Source organism: Homo sapiens, chromosome 1 (genome assembly GCF_000001405.40).
Source record: "Homo sapiens chromosome 1, GRCh38.p14 Primary Assembly".
Lineage (NCBI taxonomy): Eukaryota > Metazoa > Chordata > Mammalia > Primates > Hominidae > Homo > Homo sapiens.
The window spans coordinates 93090595-93114979 of NC_000001.11; the positions used below are offsets into that span (position 1 = coordinate 93090595).

Genomic DNA, 24385 nt, shown 5'->3' on the forward strand with positions numbered 1-24385 from the left:
ATCAGTGTATGAAAGTAAGAGAGTAGGATTGTTGGAATATGAATATTCTTGGTTACGTTATTTTTCCTAGTTTTTTTTTTTTTTTTTGAGACGGAGTCTAACTGTGTTACCCAGGCTGGAATGCAGTGGCACGATCTCGGCTCACTGCAAGCTCTGCCTCCCAGGTTCATGCCGTTCTCCTGCCACAGTCTCCCAAGTAGCTGGGACTATAGGCACCCGCCACCATGCCTGGCTAATTTTTTGTATTTTTAGTAGAGATGGGGTTTCATCGTGTTTGCCAGGATGGTCTCGATCTCCTGACCTCATGATCCGCCCACCTCGGCCTCCCAGAGTGCTGGGATTACAGGCGTGAGCCACCGCACCCAGCCTATTTTTCCTAGTTTTAACAACTTCTCCATTTTTGTAACCTTGTAGCTTGTATGAATGTTCAAACATTTTTTTGCCCCTAAAACTTTTTTGACCTTTTTGAGGAGCTAAACTTTTAGAATAAGCTAAACTCAGCCTGTTAGTCCTCACTTCTAAACCCCATGCAGTCTGGCATTTGAAGTCAGTGCTCGTATGTGACGTTTGAATTGTTATATTCAATAAACAGTTTTTATTACTCATTTTACTTAACCCGTCTGGTACATCTGGTATACTACTACTTAGTTGTATTTTCTCATTTTTTTGGTAATATTTTACTCTCTGGGTTATCCTTGTATTTCTCTGGTGACTTCTTTTCCTCAGGATACTTTTATAAAAAAGCATTTTAAATTTTGTATTTAAAACATTTTTAAAACATGGCAATACAAGATCTTGCCATGTTGCCCAGACTAGTTTTCTAACTTCTGGCCTCAAGCAATCCTCCCACTTCAGCCTCCCAAAGTGCTGGGATTATAGGTGACAGCCACTGTGCTTAGCCCCTCTGGAGTTGTTTGTCCATCATTCAAATAAGAGTTTTCCAGAGATTCCTATACTTACCTTTCATGAACCATTAACTGGTGGGGTGGAGATAGTGTACTGACAAGATTGCCAACGTTTCATTTTAGAAAGTAAGAATGTTTTAAACTGTGACCACCATCATTGCATAAAAGATACTTACATTTAAGAATATAAGAAGGATATGCCCTCAAAATACAGAGTGGTCTTTTAAGTTAACTAACTTAATTAAATACTGAATACATTGTTCTTGCTTTTCTTACTTTGCTGTAGATCAGTACTGGTTTATGGACTTGAGTTGAGAACCACTGCCTTATTAAAACAATTGTTTCTTGAGCTGTTTTAAGGAAAGGGAGTGTGGAGTTTCTGTTGTCTCATGTCAGAGAAAACTATATATAAAGTATTTCTTAACATATTAAAATCTCCAAGAAGTCCTTTTGTGAAAAAGCCCCACAGTTTACCTGGTTACTGGGATGTCGTCTTCTACTTTTTCTTTGGTAATTTTTTCCCCACCTTTTTTCTGTTTTCATGTGCTGGATGTCTTAGATGAGCCTTTGGTTGTCTTAATCTGTTTTCTCTTATTATATATGTTTGGTTTTTCTTCTCTTGAAATTTTTATTTTGGCTATAATTTTATTTCTTAGAGCTCCTTATTATTTCATGGATGTAATATTTTCTCATATCTCTGAGGATATTAATTGGTTATTGAAACAGTTTTTTCACATACCAACTATTAACATTCTTTAGAACTAGTATTCAGAAAATATCCTTTTGAAACACTACCATAGATGTTGATGTTACCAAGGGTTTGTCTTCACTGCTTTTGGTTTGTCTTCACTGCTTTTATCATTTTCTATCTTTTAAAAAGTAAATTTGGAATATTTAATGGCATGCTACTTGCTAAAAGTTTAAAAATCAGATAATTTTGAAATTAAAAGGCTTTTTTACCAAAACAATGTAGTTTCTTTTCTGTTCCCTCCGCCCCTTCCCACTCCTTAGAGGCAATAACTTTTAACCCTTAGCTAATTCTTTATATCTCTAAATAAAATAGCACTGCATTTAGATTCATCAATTTTATATATTTTTTATAATGTTAGATGAGAATGAATGAGGAGAGGAATAAGGGGGTAAGCTTTCTCTATAAATATATTCTCTGTAACATAATGTTAGATGAAACATAATGTTATAGAGAAAGCTTTCTCTATAAACATGTTAGATGAGAAAGAAATTCATTGCTTCTCTCCTCATTCTTTCAGTATAGTTATATAAAACATTTTAAACTGTTTTCATTTGTGAGTATATAAAAATTGTTTACATATGAAGAACCACGTAGAATATGGTACCACAAAGTAGTGGTGAGGGTTAGTTAATGCTTGTAAAGAATTTAGAGGCCGGGTGCGATGGCTCACACCTGTAATCCCAGCACTTTGGGAGGCCAAGGCGGGCAAATCACGAGGTTAGGAGATCGAGATCATCCTGGTTTGCACGGTGAAATCCTGTCTCTACTAAAAATACAAAAAATTAGCCAGGCGTGGTGGCACATACCTGTAATCCCAGCTACTTGGGAGGCTGAGGCAGGAGAATCGCTTGAACCCGGGAGGCAGAGGTTGCAGTGAGCTGAGATCACACCACTGCACTCCAGTGTGGGCGACAGAGTGAGACTCTGTCTCAAAAAAAAAAAAAATTTAAAATAGTGTCAAATACTTGTTAGCTGTTATTTCTAGATTTACATTTTTTTCTTATACAACTATGTTTAAAAATTGCCTCATTAAAAAACAAAATTTGCCTAGTTTTCTTTGAACATTAAAATCTTCATACATCTTCAGTTCCACAAAATGTCTCACAGTGCACTTTTCCACAATGTCAATCTGTCATCTAATTTATCAGTGCCATTTATTTTTCTTAGAGATATCCTCCTGGAGTTCTTCTGGAGTTCTGCTCTAATTTGGACTGGTTCTCTAGACCTGCTGCATGGAAGTTGTCTTGGGGCTTTCCTTTACCACCATCCTGGGAATTCCTTTCTCTTCCCTTCTGTGTGACATACCTTGCATTCCGTGCCTGCCTTTTATTTGGTTTACTCCCTCTGTTTAGTTTTATTAAGCTCAAATAAAGTGTGCTTGGGGGATAAATCTTTAAATACTTTATATGGCTGAAAATGTTCTAATTTTCATACACATACACTCTTTTTTTAAAAAAATACATTTTAGAGATAGGGTCTCTCTGTGTTGCCCAGGGTGGAGTGTAGTGGCTATTCACAGGCATGATCATAGTACACTACAGCCCTGAACTAGGCTCAAGCGATCCTCCTGCCTCAGCCTCTGGAGTAGCTGGGACTACAGGAGTGTGCCACTGTAGCCCAGCTTTACTTACTCTTTTTAGTCCCTTGATTGATAATTTGACTGGTTATAAGGTTGATTTTCACCCAGAATTTATTTTTCACTCAGATTTTTAAGTGAATAGTTCCACTGTCTTCTGACTTGTAATATTGCTATAATGATTATTATTCTCAGTCCCTTGTTAGTTGCCCTTTTATCTCTTTGTAAACGTAGTATCTTTGTCCTTGATTTTCTTAGAACAGGTTTTTTTTGTTCAGTTTGCTGGACACTTGTGGCCTTTTCAATCTGGTTACTTCTTTCAGTACTGGGATGTTTTCTTTTACTTTGATAATTTTTTCTCCACTTTTTTTCTGTTTTCACATGTTGGATATTTCTGATTGGTCCTCTAATTTTCTTAATCTGTTTTCTCTTATTTTCTATCTTGGTTATATAAGGTGAAAACTTTTGTAATCACCCCAGGGTCAAAAGTAGAACATTGCCAGCTAACCCAGAAACCCACATTGCAACCCTTTCATCCCCCAGATAATCTCCATCCTGACTTCTGTGGTGATTATTTTTTCTTTGTAGTCTTATTATTCAGATGTGCATTTTGAGGGTTGTAGTTTAATTTACTAGTTTTAAAATATATGTTTTAAGATTTTTTTTCAATTACAGGTTCTATCTTAGATCTTGCCTCTTTTTTTCTGTGGAGTTTATTTGTGGGAGAAACCAGGTCATTTGTCATGTGCATTTCCTAACCTGTATTTTGCTGTTGCATCCCCACTGTGTAGTTGAGCATATTTCTCTGCATTTACTAGATCTAGAGGCTTACCAGGTTCAGGTTTGCCTTTTTGGGGGGTGGGGTGGGCAAGACTATTTCACATGTGCTGTGGGTTCTCCCATCAGGAAGCATGTAATGTTTCTCTTGCTGTGCTCTTAGCAGCTACTGATGCTCAGTGCATAGATCTATTTATTCATTAGGTGTTGCAAAATGGTGATTTAAAACATTTTCTTTTTCATTTATTGGCTTGAATATATTTATAGAGAAAGTTTACCTCTATTTTCAGCTGGCACCTTACCTGTTCCCCTCTCTGTGCCTTGTATTTCCCTTGATTCAATTCCTTGAAAGAATAAACGTTCCATATTCTGATGGGATGTACAGGATAGGAGATGTGACTCGGGGGTTCCAAGTGTCTTTTTTTTCAGACATGGTCTTGCTCTGTTACCCAGGCTGGAATACAGTGGCTGGATTATATAGCTCACTGCCATTATAGCTCACTGCTGCCTCAAACTCCTGGGCTCAAGTGATCCTCCCACTTATGTGTTCTGAGTAGCTGGGAAGCTGGGACTACAGGCACATGCCACCATGCCTGAGTAATTAAAAAAATTTTTTTTGTAGTGGTGGGGTCTCCTTATATTGACCAGGCTGGTTGCGAACTTCTTGCCTCAAGTGATCCTCACCTGGCTTCCAAGTGTCCTTTTATACCAACTTCTACATATTTCTTCATTCTTTTTATTTTATTTTATTTTTGAGATGGAGTTTAGCTCTTGTCGCCGAAGCTGGAGTGCAATGGTGCAATCTTGGCTCACTGCAACCTCCGCCTCCTGGGTTCAAGCGATTCTCCTGCCTCAGCCTCCCAGGTAGCTGGCATTACAGGAGTCCGCCACTACATCCAGCTGATTTTTGTATTTTTAGTAGAGACGGGATTTCACCATGTTGGCCAGGATGGTCTCGAACTCCTGACCTCAGTGATCCGCCCACATTGGCCTCCCAAAGTACTGACTGGGATTGCAGGCGTGAGCCACCCTGCCTGGCTATTTCTCTGTTCTTTTTTTTTTTTTTTTTTGAGATGGAGTCTCGCTCTGTCACCCAGGCTGGAGTGCAGTGGTGTGATCTCAGCTCAGTGCAACCTCCACCTCCCAAGTTTAAACGATTCTTCTGCCTCAGCCTCCTGAATAGCTGGGACTACAGGTGCATGCCACCACACCCAGCTAATTCTTGTATTTTTAGTAGAGATGGGGTTTCACCATATTGGTCAGGCTGGTCTCAAACTCCTGACCTTGTGATCCGCCCACCTTGACCTCCCAAAGTGCTGGGATTGCAGGCGTGAGCCCCTGCACCCGGTCTATTTCTCCATTCTTAATGCTCCCACTTGACCTCTGTCTTTTGAGTCTTGTGTCAACAGTTCTTTAGTCTTTTGAGGTTCTGTAGAGCAAAGGATTTGCTTCTCATTCCTCATTGTTCTTTCAGCTGACACTTATGTTTAATTTTCTTCCTTATTTTACAAGTGTTCATTCTTCCATCTGCCTTCCATCTTCATATATTGTGATTTAGAATTTCACATGTAACATGAACGTGGAACATCATGTATTGTTGAAGATGGAGTGTGTTTTAATTTTTTCTTTTCTCTTTGTTTTGTCATGAAAAGGAACAAATAAATCTTTACTCTCCTATCTTAATACAGCAAAGTCCTACTCTTCTCATTTTCACTTCTCATTTCTATCCAGGGCCCCAAATACGTATTATTAATATGTTACAACTTCCAAGTCTTCACTTCCAAACCAGATTTTCTGAGCTGTGGATCTTAATAGCCAGCTGCTTCCTAGACGTCATGAATAATATTTCCCAAATGTTTTCCAATTTTATTAGTTTTTTCAGAGGACCAGCTTTTGGTGCCATTTGTTCTGTCATATGCTTTTTTTTTTCTGTGTTAATTTCTGTTCTTTTATTTTTCTACTTTTTGGGGGCTTATTTTCTTTTTTCTTCCTTCAACATGAGATAGCTACTCAATTCATTAACTTTTTTTTTCTTTTCTATTATATGTATTTCGAGACGTATCTCTCCAACTACTGCTTTAGCTGCATCCCACAAGTTTTTAATATGTGCTTTTTGTTGTTCAACTTCAAATACTTATTTCTGTTATGATTTCTTCTTTGGCCCATGGATTATTTAAAAGTGTATATTTTCTTTTTTTCTTTTTCTTTTTTTTTTTTTTTTTTTGGAGACAGGGTCTAGTTCAGCTTCCCAGGCTAGAGTGCAGTGGTGTGATCATGGCTCACTGCAGCCTTAATCTCCTGGGCTCAACTGATCCTCCTGCCTCAGCCTCCTGAGTAGTCGGGCCTGCAGACATGCACCACCATGCCTGGCTAATTTTTAATTTTTTGTAGAGATGCGGTTTTACCATGTTGCCTAGGCTGGTCTCAAACTCCTGAGCTCAAATGATCTGCCCACCTTGGCCTCCCAAGGTGCTGGGATTACAGGCCTGAGCCACTGCGCCTGGCCTAAAAGTATATGTCTTGATTTCCAAACTTTTAAGTTACCTTTTTATTGATTTTGGAGTCTTACGGCATTGTAGTCATGAAATATATGCTGTATGATTTTATAGCTTAAAATTTGTTGAGACTTGCTTTATAGATCAGTATATGGTCAGTTTTTGTAAATATTTTGCCTAGCAGACATCCTTTCTTGGATGAAAGAGATAATTTAAACTTGTTACTACTTTCCTTCTAATTTCCCCCATACCATCTTCCCAGTTTCCCAAGTTAAAAACTTGGGAGTTGTTCTGAATTTCTCCTTTGCTCTCAATACCACATAAAGTTAATTCTTAATGTCTGTCTGTTTTACTTTTAAATTATTTATTGTTATAAGAGTGATGCCATGATTATTTTAAAAAACTTGGAAAATATAAAGTATGAAAACTAGGTTACTTAAAACCCTAGTATCCAGGGATGTTTTAAAATTCCAATTTCTTCGTGGCCTGATTTCAGGTTTTTCCTTTCTTTTTTTTTGAGATGGAGTCTCACTCTGTCGCCCAGGCAGGAGTGTAGCGGTGCGATCTCAGCTCACTGCAACCTCCACCTCCCGGGTTCGAGCAGTTCTCGCGCCTCAGCCTCCTGAGTAGCTGGGGTTACAGGTGCATGCCACCATGCTCAGTTATTTTTTGTATTTTTAGTAGAGACGGGGTTTCACCTTGTTGGCCGGGCTGGTCGCGAGCTCCTGACCTTAAATGATCTGCCCGCCTCAGCCTCCCACAGTGCTGGGATTACAGGCATGAGCCACCATGCCTGGGCCTTTTTTTATTAATAGATTATTGCAGATTTATTTGGGTTCCCATCTTTTTCTCTCTTTTGCATAGTGTTTGTTTATTCAGCCAGTATTGAGAATCGATGTGTGCCAGGTACAGGGGATATATAAGAGTAAATAAGACAAAGAGGCAATGTCTCTACTCTTATAGCTTGGTCTTTTTTTGTTTGTTTAGTGTTATTTATGCCACTTTCTCTCTAATTTGAGCTGCAGTTATACTGCAGTTTTGTTCCTAGAAAAGTGTGTGTTGTCTCATGACTTTGTGCCTTTACATATGTTCCCTAGGCTTATGAAGTCCTCTCTAAGGTTCATCTCTGAAACTACTACTCATCCTTTAAGTCTGTAGTTAAAAGCTAAGTCTTGATGAAGTTTTGTCTGTCCCTGCCTTTTGCTTCTGGACAGATTAGATATTTTTCTTCTTGTGTTTATTCATTATAGGAATTACACTGCATATAGTTTTTTTGGTGTGCACACGTGTTTCTCTACAAAGGCTATGTTCCTTGGTGGTATGTACTGTATCTTTCCACATTTGTCTCTCTTAACACCTGGCATGGTACCTGGCATATAGCAGGCATTGTATATTTGTTGAATGACCAGAGCCATTGAGTTTAAATACAATAATCATGTTTTCCTTAACTCTCATTGGACTTTTATTATAAAATGATTGGGGTATGGATGTTTTGGTTGGTTAAAATGTTCTGTTTAATTAAAGTATACTCTGAGATACCAGTTTTCAAATATAAGTTGTCAGTAGGTTAGGAGACAAATGTATATATGTTGGTTGTTTATAAGAAGGCTGAATTTTTGCATATGAACCATTACAAATAGGAATTGGGATTCCAAGTCAGTTGGTCTGTAATTTGTAATATAGTTTATTTGTAGTATTTATGATACTTAATACCTACTGTAATGGTTTCAGAATTTTGACTTTGTTCTCCAATGAATGTGTTTCTTCTCAGTGTTGCCCAGTTGTAAAACTAGGGTATCTGCTGATTCTGAGCCACTAGTAGCAACCCCTGACCATGGGTTTCAGCAAGGTGAGGGATGAGAGGATGACATTTACAGATGGTGAGAGGGGGATGTTTGTCTATATTGTAAACAGATGGACACTACCCACCTATACCCAGTTGTCCAGCCGCTCAGGTAAAGAATGTAGAGAGGGTTTTTACATTGATAAGGTCCTGAAAAAGACCTCCATATTTTGGCAGAGTTTATCAGTCTAAGCGTTGCCTCCCTACCTGATCACACTAAGGCAAAGCTGAACTCTCTACAAATCCTGCATCATGTGTGAAGAGATCCCATGTGGATTTATATAACCTCAATCTTAACTGTCACTGGACAACTAAGGGCCACTAAATAGCTGAGGAAAGCCTGCTGCATCAAAGGAGAGTCTAAAATAAACAGAAAAACAAATGAAAGGATTTACCAAGGGCTGGACAGTATGATTGAAAGAAGACCTTATGCCTAGACACATCATTATGAAATTTTAAGACATTAAGGATAAATGAAGATCCTAGAAACTTTCTGAGGAAAAAATGGTAACCTATAAAGGAGTAAAAGTCAGAGTGGCATCAGATTTTTCATTATGAATGCTGAGTGTGGTAGAGGAATAGTATCAAACTTCCGAGGGAAGTTTTCAACATTCAATATTTTCAACATTAAATTCTGTATCTGGGAAAGTATTGGTCAATTGTGAGGGTGGGATTGAAATAGATATGCAAGGTTTATACAGCCTTCTGTTGTAAGCCACTGCTCCAGCAAAAGAATATGGGATCTAGAAAGCAGAGTGATAAGGGGAACTTCCAAGATGACAAGAGCAAGGCTTAGAGGATAGTCATTCTAGATTGGCACAGGAACATGGAGAGCTTTAGAAGCAGGAGTTACATGTGGAAAAAAGATTTGAAATTATCATTGACAGTTTGAAACAGGAGGCAACAAAGGGATATATTAAGCAATTTTGGGAAAAATTGAAAGTGAATAAGAAAGGATATTTAATAAGGGCATACCACTTATCTTTGCATGACCAATATTTACACATTGTACAATAAGTAAAACTTACTGATTTAATGAAAATAGTTCAATAAGATTTGTAGAGGATGAGAGGTAGGAAATAGGAGTTGGCATAAGATGTGAATTATCAACTTCAATAGCAAGAAGTCAGATTTGAAGTTGATCAGTTTAAAAAGAGAAGTATAAACACATTATTTGTAAATACGAGGGTACCTTCAGAAGGCATAGTTGAAAGAGTTAAAAAAAACCCACTTGCCTCTGAGAGTAAGACTGGAATATTAGAAGTGGTGGAGTGAGGAACTATTGATTTTCACCTTAATTTTTTTCTATACTATTTGCTATTTTTATAAAAAAGCATATATGTGGCATTATGTTTGTTTGTTTGTTTGTTTGTTTGTTTTTGAGACAGAGTCTCACTCTGTCGCCCAGGCTGGAGTGCAGTGGCATGATCTCCGCTCACTGCAACCTCCGCCTCCCAGGTTCACGCCATTCTCCTGCCTCAGCCTCCTGAGTAGCTGGGACTACAGGCACCTGCCACCATGCCTGGCTAATTTTTTAGTATTTTTAGTAGAGACGGAGTTTCACTGTGTGTTAGCCAAGATGGTCTTGCTCTCCTGACCTCATGATCTGCCCGCCTCGGCCTCCCAAAGTGCTGGGATTACAGCCGTGAGCCACCACCCCCAGCTGTTTGTATTGTTTCTAAAACTAAGGAGTAGAGCTGGCCTTTAAGCTGCTTGCTTTATGCTTTCTGTCCTTTAGGTTCAACCCTGGTTCTCTTTGACATTCTACTTTCAGGGAAACCTTAACCAGAAAGAAGGCAACGAGTCTCAGGCTTCATTTTACATACCTGTCTCAAGAGATAAAAGAGAATTCCTTCTTCATAGCTTTAATGCAGTGCCAAGCTTAAGCAGATTACCTGTTGCTTCCCTTATACCTGGGCCTTACTTTGGCCCTGTTTGGCCTCATGAATTTGACTATATCTGTATGAAAGTTTTCACCAAAAATAGCACTTTTCTTAGGTTATATTATATCCTTCACATGCTATTAACCCACATATTTACTACTTTTCCCAGGGAAGGGAAGAAATTGTGGGCATGGGAAAGATGGCAACTAAGAATTGAGATAGTTCTTTATTTAGTTCACTAGGAGAACAGATTGAGGAATGGATTGGGAAGAATTAATCCATTTTCCCTAAACCACACTATTTCTGAATTAAACATCCAGTTTTCAACTTCTTGAATCAGGGTCTTACTTATTCTGGGGTAGTAAACCAAGAAAGAGTTACTGGCTTGAACACTTGGTCTCAAGGGAAGAAACTTATTTGTCCAGGCAATCTCTTTCAAGATGTATATGACTAGCAGTGATCCAGTGGTAGTGACTATGAGCCCTCTCTCCCAATCTTTTTATTGAGTTAAAATACATGTAACAAAATTTACTATCTTAACCTTTTTTTTTTTTTTTTTTTTTTTTTTAAAAGGAGATAAGGTCTCACTCTGTTTCCCAGGCTGGAGTGCAGTGGTGTGATTCCAGCTCACTGCAGTCTCGAACTCCTGAGCTCAAGTGATCCTGCAGCTATGTGCCATCACACTTGGCAAATTTTTTAAAAATTTTCTGTAGGAATGTGGTCTTGCCATGTTGCTCAGGCTGGTTTTTTTTTTTTTTTTTTTTTTTTTTTTTGAGACAGGGTCTCCCTGTTACCCAGGCTGGAATGCAGTGGTGCAGTCACAGCTCACTGCAGCCTCGACCTCCCAGGCTCACGCAATTCTCCCATCTCAGCTTCCTAAGTAGCTGGGACTATAGGCACATCCCACTATGTCTGGCTGATTTCAAAGAAATATTTTGTAGAGCCTGGATCTTGTGTTGCTTAGGCTGGTCTTGAACTCCTGGCCTCAAGCACTCCTCCCGCCTTGGCCTCCCAAAGAGCTGAAGTTACAGGTGTGAGCCACAATGCCTGGCCCGTCTTAACCAATTTTCAGTGTACAGTTCACTGATATTAAATACATTGAGCCGTCTCCATAACACTTTTTTACCTTGTTAAACTGAAACTATATGCCCGTTGTATAACAACTACCTCTTTCTCCCTCCCCTCAATCCCTGGCTGCTTAATCAGGAGAGGCAGTTTGAATCTGAGATGAGGTGAGATGAGGGATATAGCTTTGTAGCTACTGACCAGAGTCAACTGAGTACCCAAAAGGAGTACTGATTCCCCAATCAAAAAGTCTGTTTCTCATGGCACTTTAGTATATGAACTCAGAAGAATGTTTGCAATATGTATAAGAAAGGGTTATAACATATAAGATGCTCTTGAAAATTATCATGACAGTGATTAACATTTCATTTAAAAATGGGCAAAGAACATCAACTGCAGTTTCCAGAAGACTTAGAAATTGTTAATAGGCTGGGCGTGGTGGCTCATGCTTATAATCCCAGCACTTTGGGAGGCCAAAGCGGAGGGATTACTTGAGCTCAGGAGTTTGAGACCTGCTCCCATTCCTACTAAAAATTATTTTTAAAAAATCAGGTGGGCGTGGTGGCATGGTGTGTGCCTGTAGTCCCAGCTGCTTGGGAGGCTGAAGTGGGAGGATCCCTTGAGCCCGGGAGATTGAGGCTGCAGTGACCCATGATTGCACCACTGCACTTCAGCCTGGGTGACAGAGAGAGACCCTGTCTCAAAAAAAAAATTGTTAACAAACCTATGAGAAACATGCTTTTTTACTACTACTAATAGAGTTGTAGATAGAAATAGAGTGTGTGTTGTCAAACAGCAAAAGAATGATAATTCTTCCCGTTGGTGAAGGTGTGGTGAGAGTGTGAGTTGGTACCTTTTGGGAGAATAATTTGATAATACCTATGATATTTAAAAATACACATATGAGGATGGGGGGATATGGGTATATAAATGAAATAATTTTAGCCATGAAATTTTATGGGCCAGGCACGGTGGCTCACGCCTGTAATCCCAGCACTTTGGAAGGCCGAGGCGGGCAAATCACGAGGTCAGGAGTTCAAGACCAGCCTGGCCAACATAGTGAAACCCTGTCTTTGCAAAAATATGAAAAAAATTAGCCGGGCATGGTGGTGGGCGCCTGTAGTCTCAGCTACTTGGGAGGCTGAGGCAGGAGAATTGCTTGAACCCGGGAGGCAGAGGTTGCAGTGAGCCAAGATCGCACCACTGCACTTCAGCCTGGGTGACACAGTGAGACTAGCTCAAAAAAAAAAAGGAAATTATAATTGAAACTGGGTGTCACTTGATGGTTCATTATACTTGTTTTGTCTACGTTTGTAATTTTCTATTATAAAAAGGAAAAATATACGTAGTATTTTATTATATATATATTAATTCTCTTTATTATTTATCCTATATAGTAGTTGGGAATGTAGAAGAATGAAGTTTATATTACTGCTTATGTTAAAACATTGGAAACATCCTAAATGTTCCTCCATTGGGTAATGGTTGGAAAGCAGTTTAGCAGCTGATGAAAAGATTATTTTATGTGCTTTTATTTTATATTTACGTAACAGATGGAAATTACATTGTTCAAGATACATTGTTATGTGAGAAAATTTATAGAATAATATATATAATGTCCTATATTTTATTAAAAACATTTATATGAATTATAAATATGTAGTACAAATAAGAATCAGGAGATTAACTTTTTTTATGGGAGGAGATTGCATGGAGCATTTTCATTTTTAACTATATGTTTCTATATTATTCTAACATCAGCATGTTTACCTTTGTAATCAGAAAGGAAGTAATAAATTCTAAAATTAGAAAAATTAATTTGACTTCTAATAAAGGTCACATTCTAGCAAAGAGGGAAGTAATCAGTGATAGTAATGGGGTGGGGGAAACTGCATAGAGGAAAACCCTTAGGGGAGGAAAATGTGCAACGATGTTTATCCTACTTACGTTTGAGTTGTGACATTATGGGTAATTTACTCTTTTCTTGCTTTGTTTTCTGTAAGATTTTTTTGGGCAGAGAAATTTTAAAAGAAGATACTGCTTTTACACGTTATTTATGTATGTATTTTTTGGTTTTTGTTACAGGTTGTCTAGGCTGGAGTGCAGTGGTGAAGTCATGGCTCACTGAAGCCTCTACCTCCTGGGCTCAAGTGATCCTCCCACCTCAGCCTCCTGAGTAGCTGAGACCACAGGCGTATGCCACTACACCCAGCTTTTTTTTTTTTTTTTTTGTAGAGACAAGGTCTCACTGTGTTGCCCAGGCTGGTCTCAAATTCCTAGGCTCAAGTGATCCTCCTGCCTCAGCCTCCCAAAGTGCTAGGATTACAGGTGTGAGCCACCATGCCTGGTACAAATGATCTCTCTATTAATGCAGTTTTATATAGGATTTATGTTTATGTGGGTAAAAGGTTGATGTGTATTTGTCTTAAATGTGAATGAAAGTAGAGTCTATTTTTTACTTAAAGCAAAACAGATGATTTGTGCTTAGAGACATTAGATTAAAAATGTACCCCGGGCGCTGTGGCTCAGGCCTGTAATCCCAGCACTTTGGGAGGCCGAGGCGGGTGGATCACAAGGTCAGGAGATCAAGACCATTCTGGCCAACATGGTGAAACCTTGTCTCTACTAAAAATACAAAAATTAGCTGGGCGTGGTGGCATGCACCTGTAATCCCAGCTATCCGGGAGGCTGAGGCACAAGAATTGCTTGAACCCAGGAGGTGGAGGTTGCAGTGAGCTGGGATCGTGCCACTGTACTCCAGCCTGGTGACAGAGCAAGACTCCATCTCAAAAAAAAAAAAAAAAAAGTAGATAAAGATGAAAAGTTAAACTCTTTAAATATTGGTTAGATAAAAAAATTAACTCCTTAAATATAGGCGTTTCTTGACTTGAACTATATAAATTCTGCATAATCTTTCTGCCGTTTATGTATCATGCCCTATGCAGAGATTGAGGATACAAGTGTGAATAAGAGACAGACATTCTCGGCCGGGCGCGGTGGCTCACGCCTGTAATCCCAGCACTTTGGGAGGCCGAGGCAGGCAGATCACGAGGTCAGGAGATCGAGACCAAGGTGAAACCCCGTCTCTACTAAAAATACAAAAAGTTAGCCGGGTGTAGTGGCGGGCGCCTGTAGTCCCAGCTACTCGGGAGGCTGAGGCAGGAGAATGGCGTGAACCTGGGAGGCGGAGCTTGCAGTGAGCCGAGATAGCGCCACTGCACTCCAGCCTGGGTGACAGAGCGAGACTCCGTCTCAAAAAAAAAAAAAAAAAAGAGACAGACATTCCCTGTTTGGGGGGAGGTTAGTGGGTTATATTGAAGTGGGCCGAAGACTGAAAAGGGGAGGAGACTATAGGAGTGGAGACATTAAGCGTGTATAACTTTACCCCGAGGTTTGCTTGCAAATGGGAGGAAAGAGTAGGAAGTGGTGGGAACGGAGCACAAAGAATCAAGAGAATTTAGTTATTCTACCCCCCATCCCCAAGATCCTTGCAAGTTTTTAAGCATAGTTGAATGCTAATGGGAGGGTGCCCAGAGAGAAGATTTATTGAATGCTGGCTCTGGTTTGTATCCTATAATAAACTTCATCAAGTTATAATCTGTTTTGCAGTTGTAGTTTCCTCATGTAAAAAGGGATCTGTAAAATCTCATCTGCAAAAATATCTCTAAAGCAGTGATCTGAGTATTAAATTACCTCTATATATCTACTGCCTGGCACAGTATGTGGCTCATAATAGGGACCCAAAAATGATTTGTGAATGAATATGTTGAATGTTGTTTGTGTGTGTGTGTGTTTTTTTTTTGAGACCAGAGTCTTGCTCTTTTCACCCAGGCTGGAGTGCAATGCTGCGGTCTCGGCTCACTGCAACCTCCACCTCCCGGGTTCAAGCAGTTCTCCTGCCTCAGCCTCCTGAGTAGCTGGGATTACAGGTGCCAGCCATCACGCCCGGCTAATTTTTGTATTTTAAGTAGAGACGTGGTTTGGCCATGTTGACCAGGCTGGTCTCAAACTCCTGACCTCGTGATCTGCCCGACCCGTTCTCCCAAAGTGCTGGAATTACAGGCGTGAGCCACCATGCCCGGCCATGAATGTGTTGAATGTTTAATGTAGGGTTAGGGACTTGGTAATCTCAGTAATTTTTTCCTGGAGGTTTGACTGTGAATGGAAGGGAAAAAATGAGGAGGTGGTGGGAAGGGGGCATAAGGAATCAAGGGTAACTATAATTAGGTTAGGTCTCATTTGAGACACAGCACACCAGAAATATTAGGAGAAGCAGGGCATAAACACTAGGAGATGGAAAAATAAAAAAATGTTTGATACCTTATGACCTAAGGATGTGCTATGCAGCAGGAGTAGTACAGTGGAGAGTAAGACAGAGACAGACCTTGCCATCCTGAAAGAAGGGGATAATTTATTGAAATAATAGCAAAGCATATGAAACTGGGAATGTTTGCAATTTTTATTTTTGTACAGTTTCTACTTTGGAATTCTAGGTCTTAACGCAGACCTGCCATGGCATTCTACTGAGGTCATTTTTCACCCATGATTGATTAATTGTTCAGGCTTTGGCTATTTTTTTTTTTTAACTGAAGGGATGCAAAATCCCTCAAGTGAACACTGAACTTAAAGCCTTTTTTTTTTTTTTTTGAGACAGACTTTTGCTTTTGTTGCCCAGGCTGGAGTGCAATGGTGCGATCTTAGCTCACTGCAACCTCCACCTCCTGGGTTCAAGACATTTTCCTGCCTCAGCCTGCCAGGTAGCTGGGATGACAGGCATACGCCACCACACCAGGCTAATTTTGTATTTTTAGTAGAGACGGGTTTTTTCTCCATGTTGGTCAGGCTGGTCTTGAACTCCCAGCCTCAGGTGATCTGCCCACCTCGGCCTCCCAAAGTGTTGGGATTACAGGCGTGAGCCACCGCATCCTGCCCCTTAAAGCTTTTTTCAAAGTTGATTGCTAATAGAGTTATTCCCATACTGTGAAGCCGTTAAATTGTTTCAAAATCTGGAGAAAGAGGATTCTTACCCTCTCCTTGAGCATCCCTGATGATAATTCATTGTGATTCTTCCTGCATTTTTACTTCTGTTCTCTTGCACTGATCTTGTCAAACATTTAAACTTTTTAACCCCTCTAATTATACTACCAAAAGTGCCTTCTCCTCACAGCTGACTATGGCACAGAAAAAACAATGTTAGATAAAATTGCTTTGTGCCTTAGCATGAATCAAGGCAGCGGCATCAAACTGTACTTGTATTCTTCATTGTGTACTAACGGTAAAAAATATAAACACACACACGTACCCCCAAACCTTATTTCACTTAAGAATGTTTTTTGTTTGTTTGTTTGTTTTTGAGATGTAGTTTTGCTCTGTTGCCTAGGCTGGAGTGCAGTGGTGTAATCTTGGCTCATTGCAACGTCCGCCTCCCAGGTTCAAGCGGTTCTCCTGCCTCAGCCTCCCGAGTAGCTGGGATTACAGGCACGCGCCACCATGCCTGGCTAATTTTGTATTTTTAGTAGAGATGGGGGGTTTTGCTATGTTGGCCAGGCTTGTCTTGAACTCCTGGCCTCAAATGATCCACCTGCCTCGGCCTTCCAAAATGCTGGAATTACAGGCATGAGCCACCGTGCTGGCCAGGTTTTTAATATGTGTGATAAAATAGAAATGGCATAAGGCACTTGTGCCATTGTTTGAGTTGCCAGCTGAACTAGCAGCTTTTTCATGGAACACCATTTTTACTTGAAACAGCCACTTAGTTCTGTATAAGGCAGGTATTTTCTTGAAGTGACAATCTACGTTTTATATTGACCTTAATTACCATTTTTTTTTTCGTTTGTTCTTGTGAATTCAAGTTAGCATCTTGTGTCTGTCCTTCCTTCCATTTTTCTCTTTTCTTTTCTTCTTTTCTTTTGACAGGTTCTCTCTCTGTTGCTCAGGCTGGAGTGCAGTGGCACAATCACAGCTCACTGCAGTCTCGACCTCCTGGCCTCATATAGTCCTCCCACCCCAGACTCCTGAGTAGCTGGGACCACAGGCACGTGCCACAATGCCCGGCTAATTTTTATTTTTTAATTTTTTTAGAGACATTCTCCCTTTGTTGCCCAGGCTACTCTTGAATTCGGGGTCCTCCTGCCTCAGCCTCCCAAAGTGCTGGGATTACAGGCGTCAGCCATGCTGCACCTGGCCTGTGTCATTTCTTTGAAACAGTTGAAACAGTTTTGCTCCTACATACTTCCTTTATGCTATTATTGCCAAATATATTACATTTCTATATATTATGGGTCTAACAATACAATTATGTACATATTGTTTTATATACTTGCTTTGGAGGGAATATGCATTTATGCTGTCTTTTATAATTACTTTTGTTGGTATTCTTTGTGTGTGTGTGTGTGTATGTGTATGTACATGTATTTGAATTTCCTTCTGGGTTTACTTACTTTCAATCGTAGTAGTATTCATTGTAAGATGTCTCTGCTAATAACAAATTCAGTTTTTGTTTATCTGGGAGTTTGTATTTCACCTTCATTTTTGAAAGACAGTTTTGCTGGATATAAGATTCTCTGGTGACAGCACCCACTCCCTGCAGCCTGCTTACTTTGAATATGTCATCTCACTGCCTTCTGGCCTTTATTGTTTCTGATGAGAAGTCAACTGTTAATCTTATTGGGGTTTCCCTGTACGTGATATATTGTGTTTCTCTTGTTGCTTTCAAGATTTTTTTTTTTTTTTTTTTTGCCTTTCAGCATTTTTACTATGATGTGGCTGGGTGTAGATCTCTTTGCATTTATCCTACTTGGAATTTGTTGAGCTGCTTGGATGTGTAGATAATGTTTTTCAGCAAATTTGGGAAGGTACCAGTTATTTCTTTGGATATCTCTAAAATGTATTTCTTTCAAACTGAAACACTCCGTACCCATTAAACACTAACTCCCTATTCCCCATTCTTCCTAGCCGTTGGCCGCCATTCTGTTTTCCATCTCTATGACTTTGAGTGTCTAGGCACCTCATATAAGTGGAATAGTTGTCCATTTTGTCTGGCTTATTTCACTTAGCATAATGTCTTCAAGGTTCATCCGTGTTTGAGCATGTGACAGGGTTTCCCAGAATTTCTGTATTTTTAGATATTGAAGTTAGATATTCCTAATACTTAGGAACTTTTTGAAACTTTTTTCTTTAATTTCCCTGCTCATTTTATTTTTACTAAACTTTTATGCTGTTTTTAGAATTATTATCTAGTTTTACATGTCACTGTATGTTTAATTAGTGAAAAATCTAATTTGGAAAAGTGAAACCAAACACTGCTTTGTTACCTTTAAGAAAGCTGATGGTGGTATGCTTTGCTGTTTATGGAATGTCTGATACATAAGTTATAATGTAATTTCACAGTATTTAATATATATTTTTTTCCTTTAAGTACTCTTATAGTGTACTTTCCTTTTTTTTTGTTTTTTTGTTTTTTGAGACAGAGTCTTGCTCTGTTGCCCAGGCTGGAGTGCAGTGGCATGATCTCAGCTCACTGCAACCTCCGCCTCCTGGGTTCAAATGATTCTCCTGCCTCAGCCTCCCCAGTAGCTGGCATCACAGGTGTGTACCACCACGCCCGGCTAATCTTTGTATTTTTTAGTAGACACAGGGTTTCACCATGTTGGCCAGGCTGGTCTTGAACTCCTGGCCTCAGGTGATCCACCCGCCTCAGCCTCCCAAAGAGCTGGGATTACAGGCATGAGCCACCGCACCTGGCCTTATAGTGTACTATTTGTCTATAATGTAATGAAATTGCTGGTTCTCAATGTTTTTTTTTTTAAACTCTCAGTCTGCATATTTGCTCAATTCAGTGGTGATTCCCTGTAAGGAGAAGGTCATGACTGCCCTTCCTTTGAGTGTGAAGAGTGTGAATAACACCAGCTGTCCCTTGAAGTCACTGGTTAATGTGTCTTAACTGCATGTGGCATAATCAAGAGATTAAAATGTAATTCACTTTTATTCTTTACCTAAACCCAGTCATGAGATTCAAGACATTATTTGCTCATGATCATGGCCTGCATACCTCAACATAAAGCTGTTATTTTGATGGCAGCTGCCTTGAATGTGTTATCTTGGAGTGTTTGCTGAGTCTTGGCCTCACTTAGAGTAGGCAATGAATGGATATTGAGAATTGTTATCATTTTGTTTTAAACTGCTTTGTTTGGAGAGTATTTATGATTTGAGGTACTTTTTATATTTTTGTCTTAAGGTTTTTAACAAATTTAAAACTTTGATTAACATATAAAATATCCCACTGGTATAAAATAAGCTCTACAAGTAAGTCTTATGTATGGTCTTTTATTCTCTAAACAGAGACTCTACAGGGGCAGGTAATTCACTGGTCCACAAGCGGTCTCCTTTACGTCGAAACCAAAAGACCCCAACATCCTTGACCAAGCTGTCTTTACAGGATGGACATAAAGCCAAAAAGCCAGCATGTAAATTTGAAGAGGGTCAGGATGTCCTAGCTAGATGGTCAGATGGCTTGTTTTATCTTGGCACTATCAAAAAGGCAAGTTACTTTAATGTATCTTTTGCTGTTTTTGCAGTAAGCATTTAATAATCTTAAATTTAACTTCATGTTTTTAATTTTAAGAGATCACCGTTAAGTATTTCTCTGTATTGCAGATAAACATATTGAAACAGAGCTGCTTCATCATATTTGAAGACAGTTCTAAATCCTGGGTTCTCTGGAAGGACATTCAAACAGGCAGGTGCTACTATTTCTCTTGAACATGATTTAAATTAAAATTTGATTTTCTTCAACTTGTCATATTATGATGTTGTCTGTTGAATACAGTGTATTTAGATAACTCAGTATTACTTCCTAGGAGAGGTTAAAAAATCAGCATAGTCGTTATTATAGACCATAAGAAGAACAAGAATACTCTAGAGGACAGATGCATCACTAATTTATACCTGTAAGCTATGTTAAGACCCTTCTAAGAACTTTGAAGAAAAATCTTTAGTAACTAATCTCAGTAACGGTTTGGGATTCAATTCAACTGTTGCTTGCTTATATTTGTAGAAAGCAAGTGTTTATTGGGAGCATACTGTTTGTCAGATGATTTGGGAAATTAGGACATATAAAACTGATTTAGAATAATAGAAATATTCGTTAATAAGAATGGTTTAAAATTACCATTTAGTTATGGGTTTTTTATGTTTAAATGGGAAAATGAGGCTATATTTGTGTGCCAATAAAAATGAATGAAAGTATGCCTTGGTTTGGTTATAGGTATGCTTCTTGTGATGATTTCTATTATTAGAAACCATGATTGTTTCATGCTTTTAGCATCTGCTAAATATAGATGTTTTACCAGGTACCTCTTTCATGCAAAGTACTTTTAAAAATTACAATCTCTACTAAAAGCCTGAGTATTTTAGCTGTTCATTAAAGCCCTACTTTTGGTTTTCCTTTTGCTGGGTTAATAGGCCTACACTAAGACCCGTGTTTTGTGTATTCTCATAGAAAAGAGATAAATTTTCTCCCTAAAGGGTAGACACCTTGCCAAAGTATTTAACAATTGGGTTTTATATTTGAATACCAAGTTCAATTTTATGGTAGGTTTCTGCCATGTTTTAGTTCTTGACTTTACTCTTAATGTTTCTTAAAGAATAAAAAAAGTTTTGGTAAAGGAATTGGAATGTTCTAATTACCATCTGTATAGTTGGTACTCAGGGCTTAGGTGGGGAACTAAGTAGCTTTTACTCTGGTAAAATGTTTTTCTGGAGAAACTTTTTATGGTTCCTGGACTGATAAGTTTAAAGGACTAAAATTACATTTTGAATCTGAAATTGAGGAGCCAGAGAAAAGTGTGACTCATAAGATTTAAAGGGATAGGAGATCTCCAACACTACTAATATTGAGCAGATCTTACTACCCTGCACACAAAATTATTCTTTTTTCCTTATTTTGTAAACATAGGTCTCTCTGTAATAGCAGTGAAACATGTTATGCTGCTTTTTACTCCCCTTCCATTAGCTATGTGTTTCTTTCAGCTTTTGAAGATCTTTTGGAGTTTCCTGTGGATTTAATGTAATAGGTCTGTCTGTCCTTTTGTCTACTTCCTCCTTTCTACTTCTCCTCTGCTTTTAAAAGTGGTAGAAAAGAAGAAAACCAATGTTACATAGAGATAGAAAGTTGTTGTGTGAGGGGTTCTATAAGTCCTGCACTCAGTATGTCAGTTTAATGTTCTGTGGTTGTTCTTTCTTCACTGGTTCCTTTTGCTGTTCTTGGAATTACAAAGGATTGCTCCTGGTCATTTAACTCTTCTTAGCACCCTGATATTAGCACATATGAAACTTATAGTTGCTATAAAAATGAATAAATGAATCTGAAACCTGCGTTATGGCATATTTCAGTGAGGAGTGGGTTTAGTAGTTTTCTTCCCTGTAAGAAATCTGCCAATAATGTATATCAAAACTTAATAAATTATATTTGTCTAATGAGTTTCTTTTAAAAATTTTACATAAAGAAAAATATTAGTAGTCAACAGGGTGAAATATATCATGTTACAACTATTACATAAATGTAAGAGGGTTTTGAATCTTAGCATCTAATGCTGTTTTGGTTTCTGTGAAATGATATACTCTTGCATTGCTGGTGGCAGTGTAAATTTCTATTTTGGTGGTTTAGCATTTGCATTAAATGCAGAAGTTTATAATTATCTAATAGACTCCTTTCTAGCAGTTTATTCATAAGAAGTAATTCAAAAAATACTAGGTGAAAAATGTTTCCTGAAGTTTATTTTAACAACAACAAAAAATTTGGTATTTCTAAGATGAAATGGCCAAGGCTTTCTAGTCAATTGGATTTAGAGTAAAGGAGACTATAGAAGATTACTAAGCTATATAGGAAGGTTCTTGTAAACTTGATGGTAAAAAATATATACATATATGTTTGATTTCACAAGTAAAAGTTAATTCCCAGCTTTCTCAGGATTGTTTCTTGGGTCACTACCCCCTTTTCTGAGGAATTGCCTTCCCCATCATTAGTCCAGGTAGTTACAGTGAGAGTCAGGTCAGGCACCTCCCCTCGCGGGGCTGTTGTTCCATTTCCAGGGAATTGTAAATTTTCACAGAGAGTTCCCAGGCTTAATCTGGTTGCTCTCATGATCGGAACCATAAACCCAGAAGCTATGGGAGACCACCTTCAACGAAGTGTACCAAGAAGCAAACAGCTGGGCGCAGTGCCTTATGTCTGCAATCCCAGTGCTTTGGGAGGCCCAGGCAGGAGGATTGCTTGAGCCCAGGAATTTGAGACCAGCTTGGGCAACACAGGGAGATCCTGTCGCTACAAAAAAAAAAAAAAAAATAGGCATGGTGACACACACGCCTGTGGTTCCAGTTACTTGGGAGGCTGAGGTGGGAGCATTGCTTGGGCTTGGGAAGTCAAGGCTGCAGTGAGCTGTGGCTGTGCCACTGCACTCCAGCCTGGATGACACAGCAAGACCCTATCTGAGGGGAAAAATAAAAGGAAGCAAACAAAGCAGAAGAGAGAGGATGAGAGACCAGAACAAACAAATAAATAGCAGAAATACAAAAGACAGATTTCTCCCCCTCCAAAAAAAGAAAAACAGTTGGTAACCTGTATGTCCGAGAGTAGAGTAATAATGAAGTAAATTGGGTTATTTCCACTAGATGTAATACTATGCAGCTATTAGAAGTTACAATTTTGAAATGAAAAATGATTTTCATTTTCAATTTTGAGTGAAAAATGCTTTTGATAGAAGAAATATTACATAGTATTGATGAAGCATCTCGTAGTGGAGAGAACATGGATTTTGGCACATCTGGATTTGAATCCTAGTCTTGATGTTTTCTCAGGGTCTTTGGGTTAGTTACTTTGTCTGAGCCTCAGTTCTTCTCTATAAATAGTATATTTATAAGTTAGTTGTAGAATTAAACAAAATATATCAAGATCCTACACAGTGCTTGGCCCATAGCACAAAATTATAAGTTTTTATTGTTGTTATGTATATAAAGGCTGTGTATTGTGAATTTGACTCTGCTGAAACAGACAAGATGAGAATACTGGAAATGATAATGTGTTAGGGTGGTAAATTGTATTAGAAATTTTGTGTGATTTTTTTTTTTTGAGAATAAAAATGTCTCAGGAAGAAATGCTTCACTTGTTCTGCTAAAAAAAATTAATAATTTTGGGACCCCCAAATTTTGTTGAAATGATATTTTGTTAGGGTACATTATTGGATACCATATTTTCAGATTTCAGAAGCTAGAGATTAAATAATTGGTGTTCAACCTGTTTAATAAATTAGTAAGTAAAAGGAAATGCTCTGAATTGAGCGAGAAAGAGGTAGTTTACTTATCTTCCTTACTTTTTTTCTTTAATTTCATGGTATTAGTGGTGTAGGATAAGTGAATGTATGTACATGAATAGATAAGTATTCTATAAAGTAGCTCTAGTGTTCACAAACCTTCTCTATCTGCTGTCGCCCATCCCTCATCTCCACCTTCACCTTTAAGAGTGGGAATATGAGAAATGAGTAATAAGGGAAGATGCTCAAGAGCAATTTAAATTATGCCTTCTGCCAAAAAGCAGATTAAATTATGAAAGTAGGCATGTTAAGTTAAAGGTAGAAAGAACACAGAGAGCAGAGAGATACCATTCGTGTACTTTGTCTTGTGAAGCATTATGATGTACTTAGCAAACATTGCGCATATGTGCTGCTCACTGAGTCATAAAAGTGGTTTTGTTTTATGGAATTTTTTATGACTCTCTTTTTTAATGTGTTTTAAATATTTTAGGAGCCACTGGAAGTGGGGAAATGGTCTGTACAATATGTCAAGAAGAGTATTCAGAAGCTCCCAATGAAATGGTTATATGTGACAAGTGTGGCCAAGGTAACCATTGATTTCTTTTAATCTTGTTACATACTGAATGACTATGTTGAAGATTAATGACTAAAAATACTTTACATTGATAATTTGAAATTATCCTTTTTATTAATTATATTAATGTAGGAAATAATGCTAAAATGCATTCTTGAAATTGTGTTGAAAGTATTAATGAAACCGAATTTGCTTTATGCTTTTTTTG

General features: G+C 38.5%; 1 protein-coding gene across 4 annotated transcripts in view; it reads left to right on the plus strand.

Annotated features, from left to right (window-relative positions):
- Positions 1 to 24385, plus strand: part of MTF2 (metal response element binding transcription factor 2) — a 59794-nt gene that overhangs the window by 11312 nt on the left and 24097 nt on the right. For 2 of the 4 annotated variants that reach the window (NM_007358.4, NM_001164392.2), the window contains exons 2-4: positions 19636 to 19834; positions 19951 to 20032; positions 24094 to 24189. In NM_007358.4, coding sequence (NP_031384.1) covers positions 19636 to 19834; positions 19951 to 20032; positions 24094 to 24189 — 377 coding nt within the window. The remainder of the gene's footprint in view (positions 1 to 19635; positions 19835 to 19950; positions 20033 to 24093; positions 24190 to 24385) is intronic. The other 2 variants (NM_001164391.2, NM_001164393.2) reach the window with 2 other exon arrangements.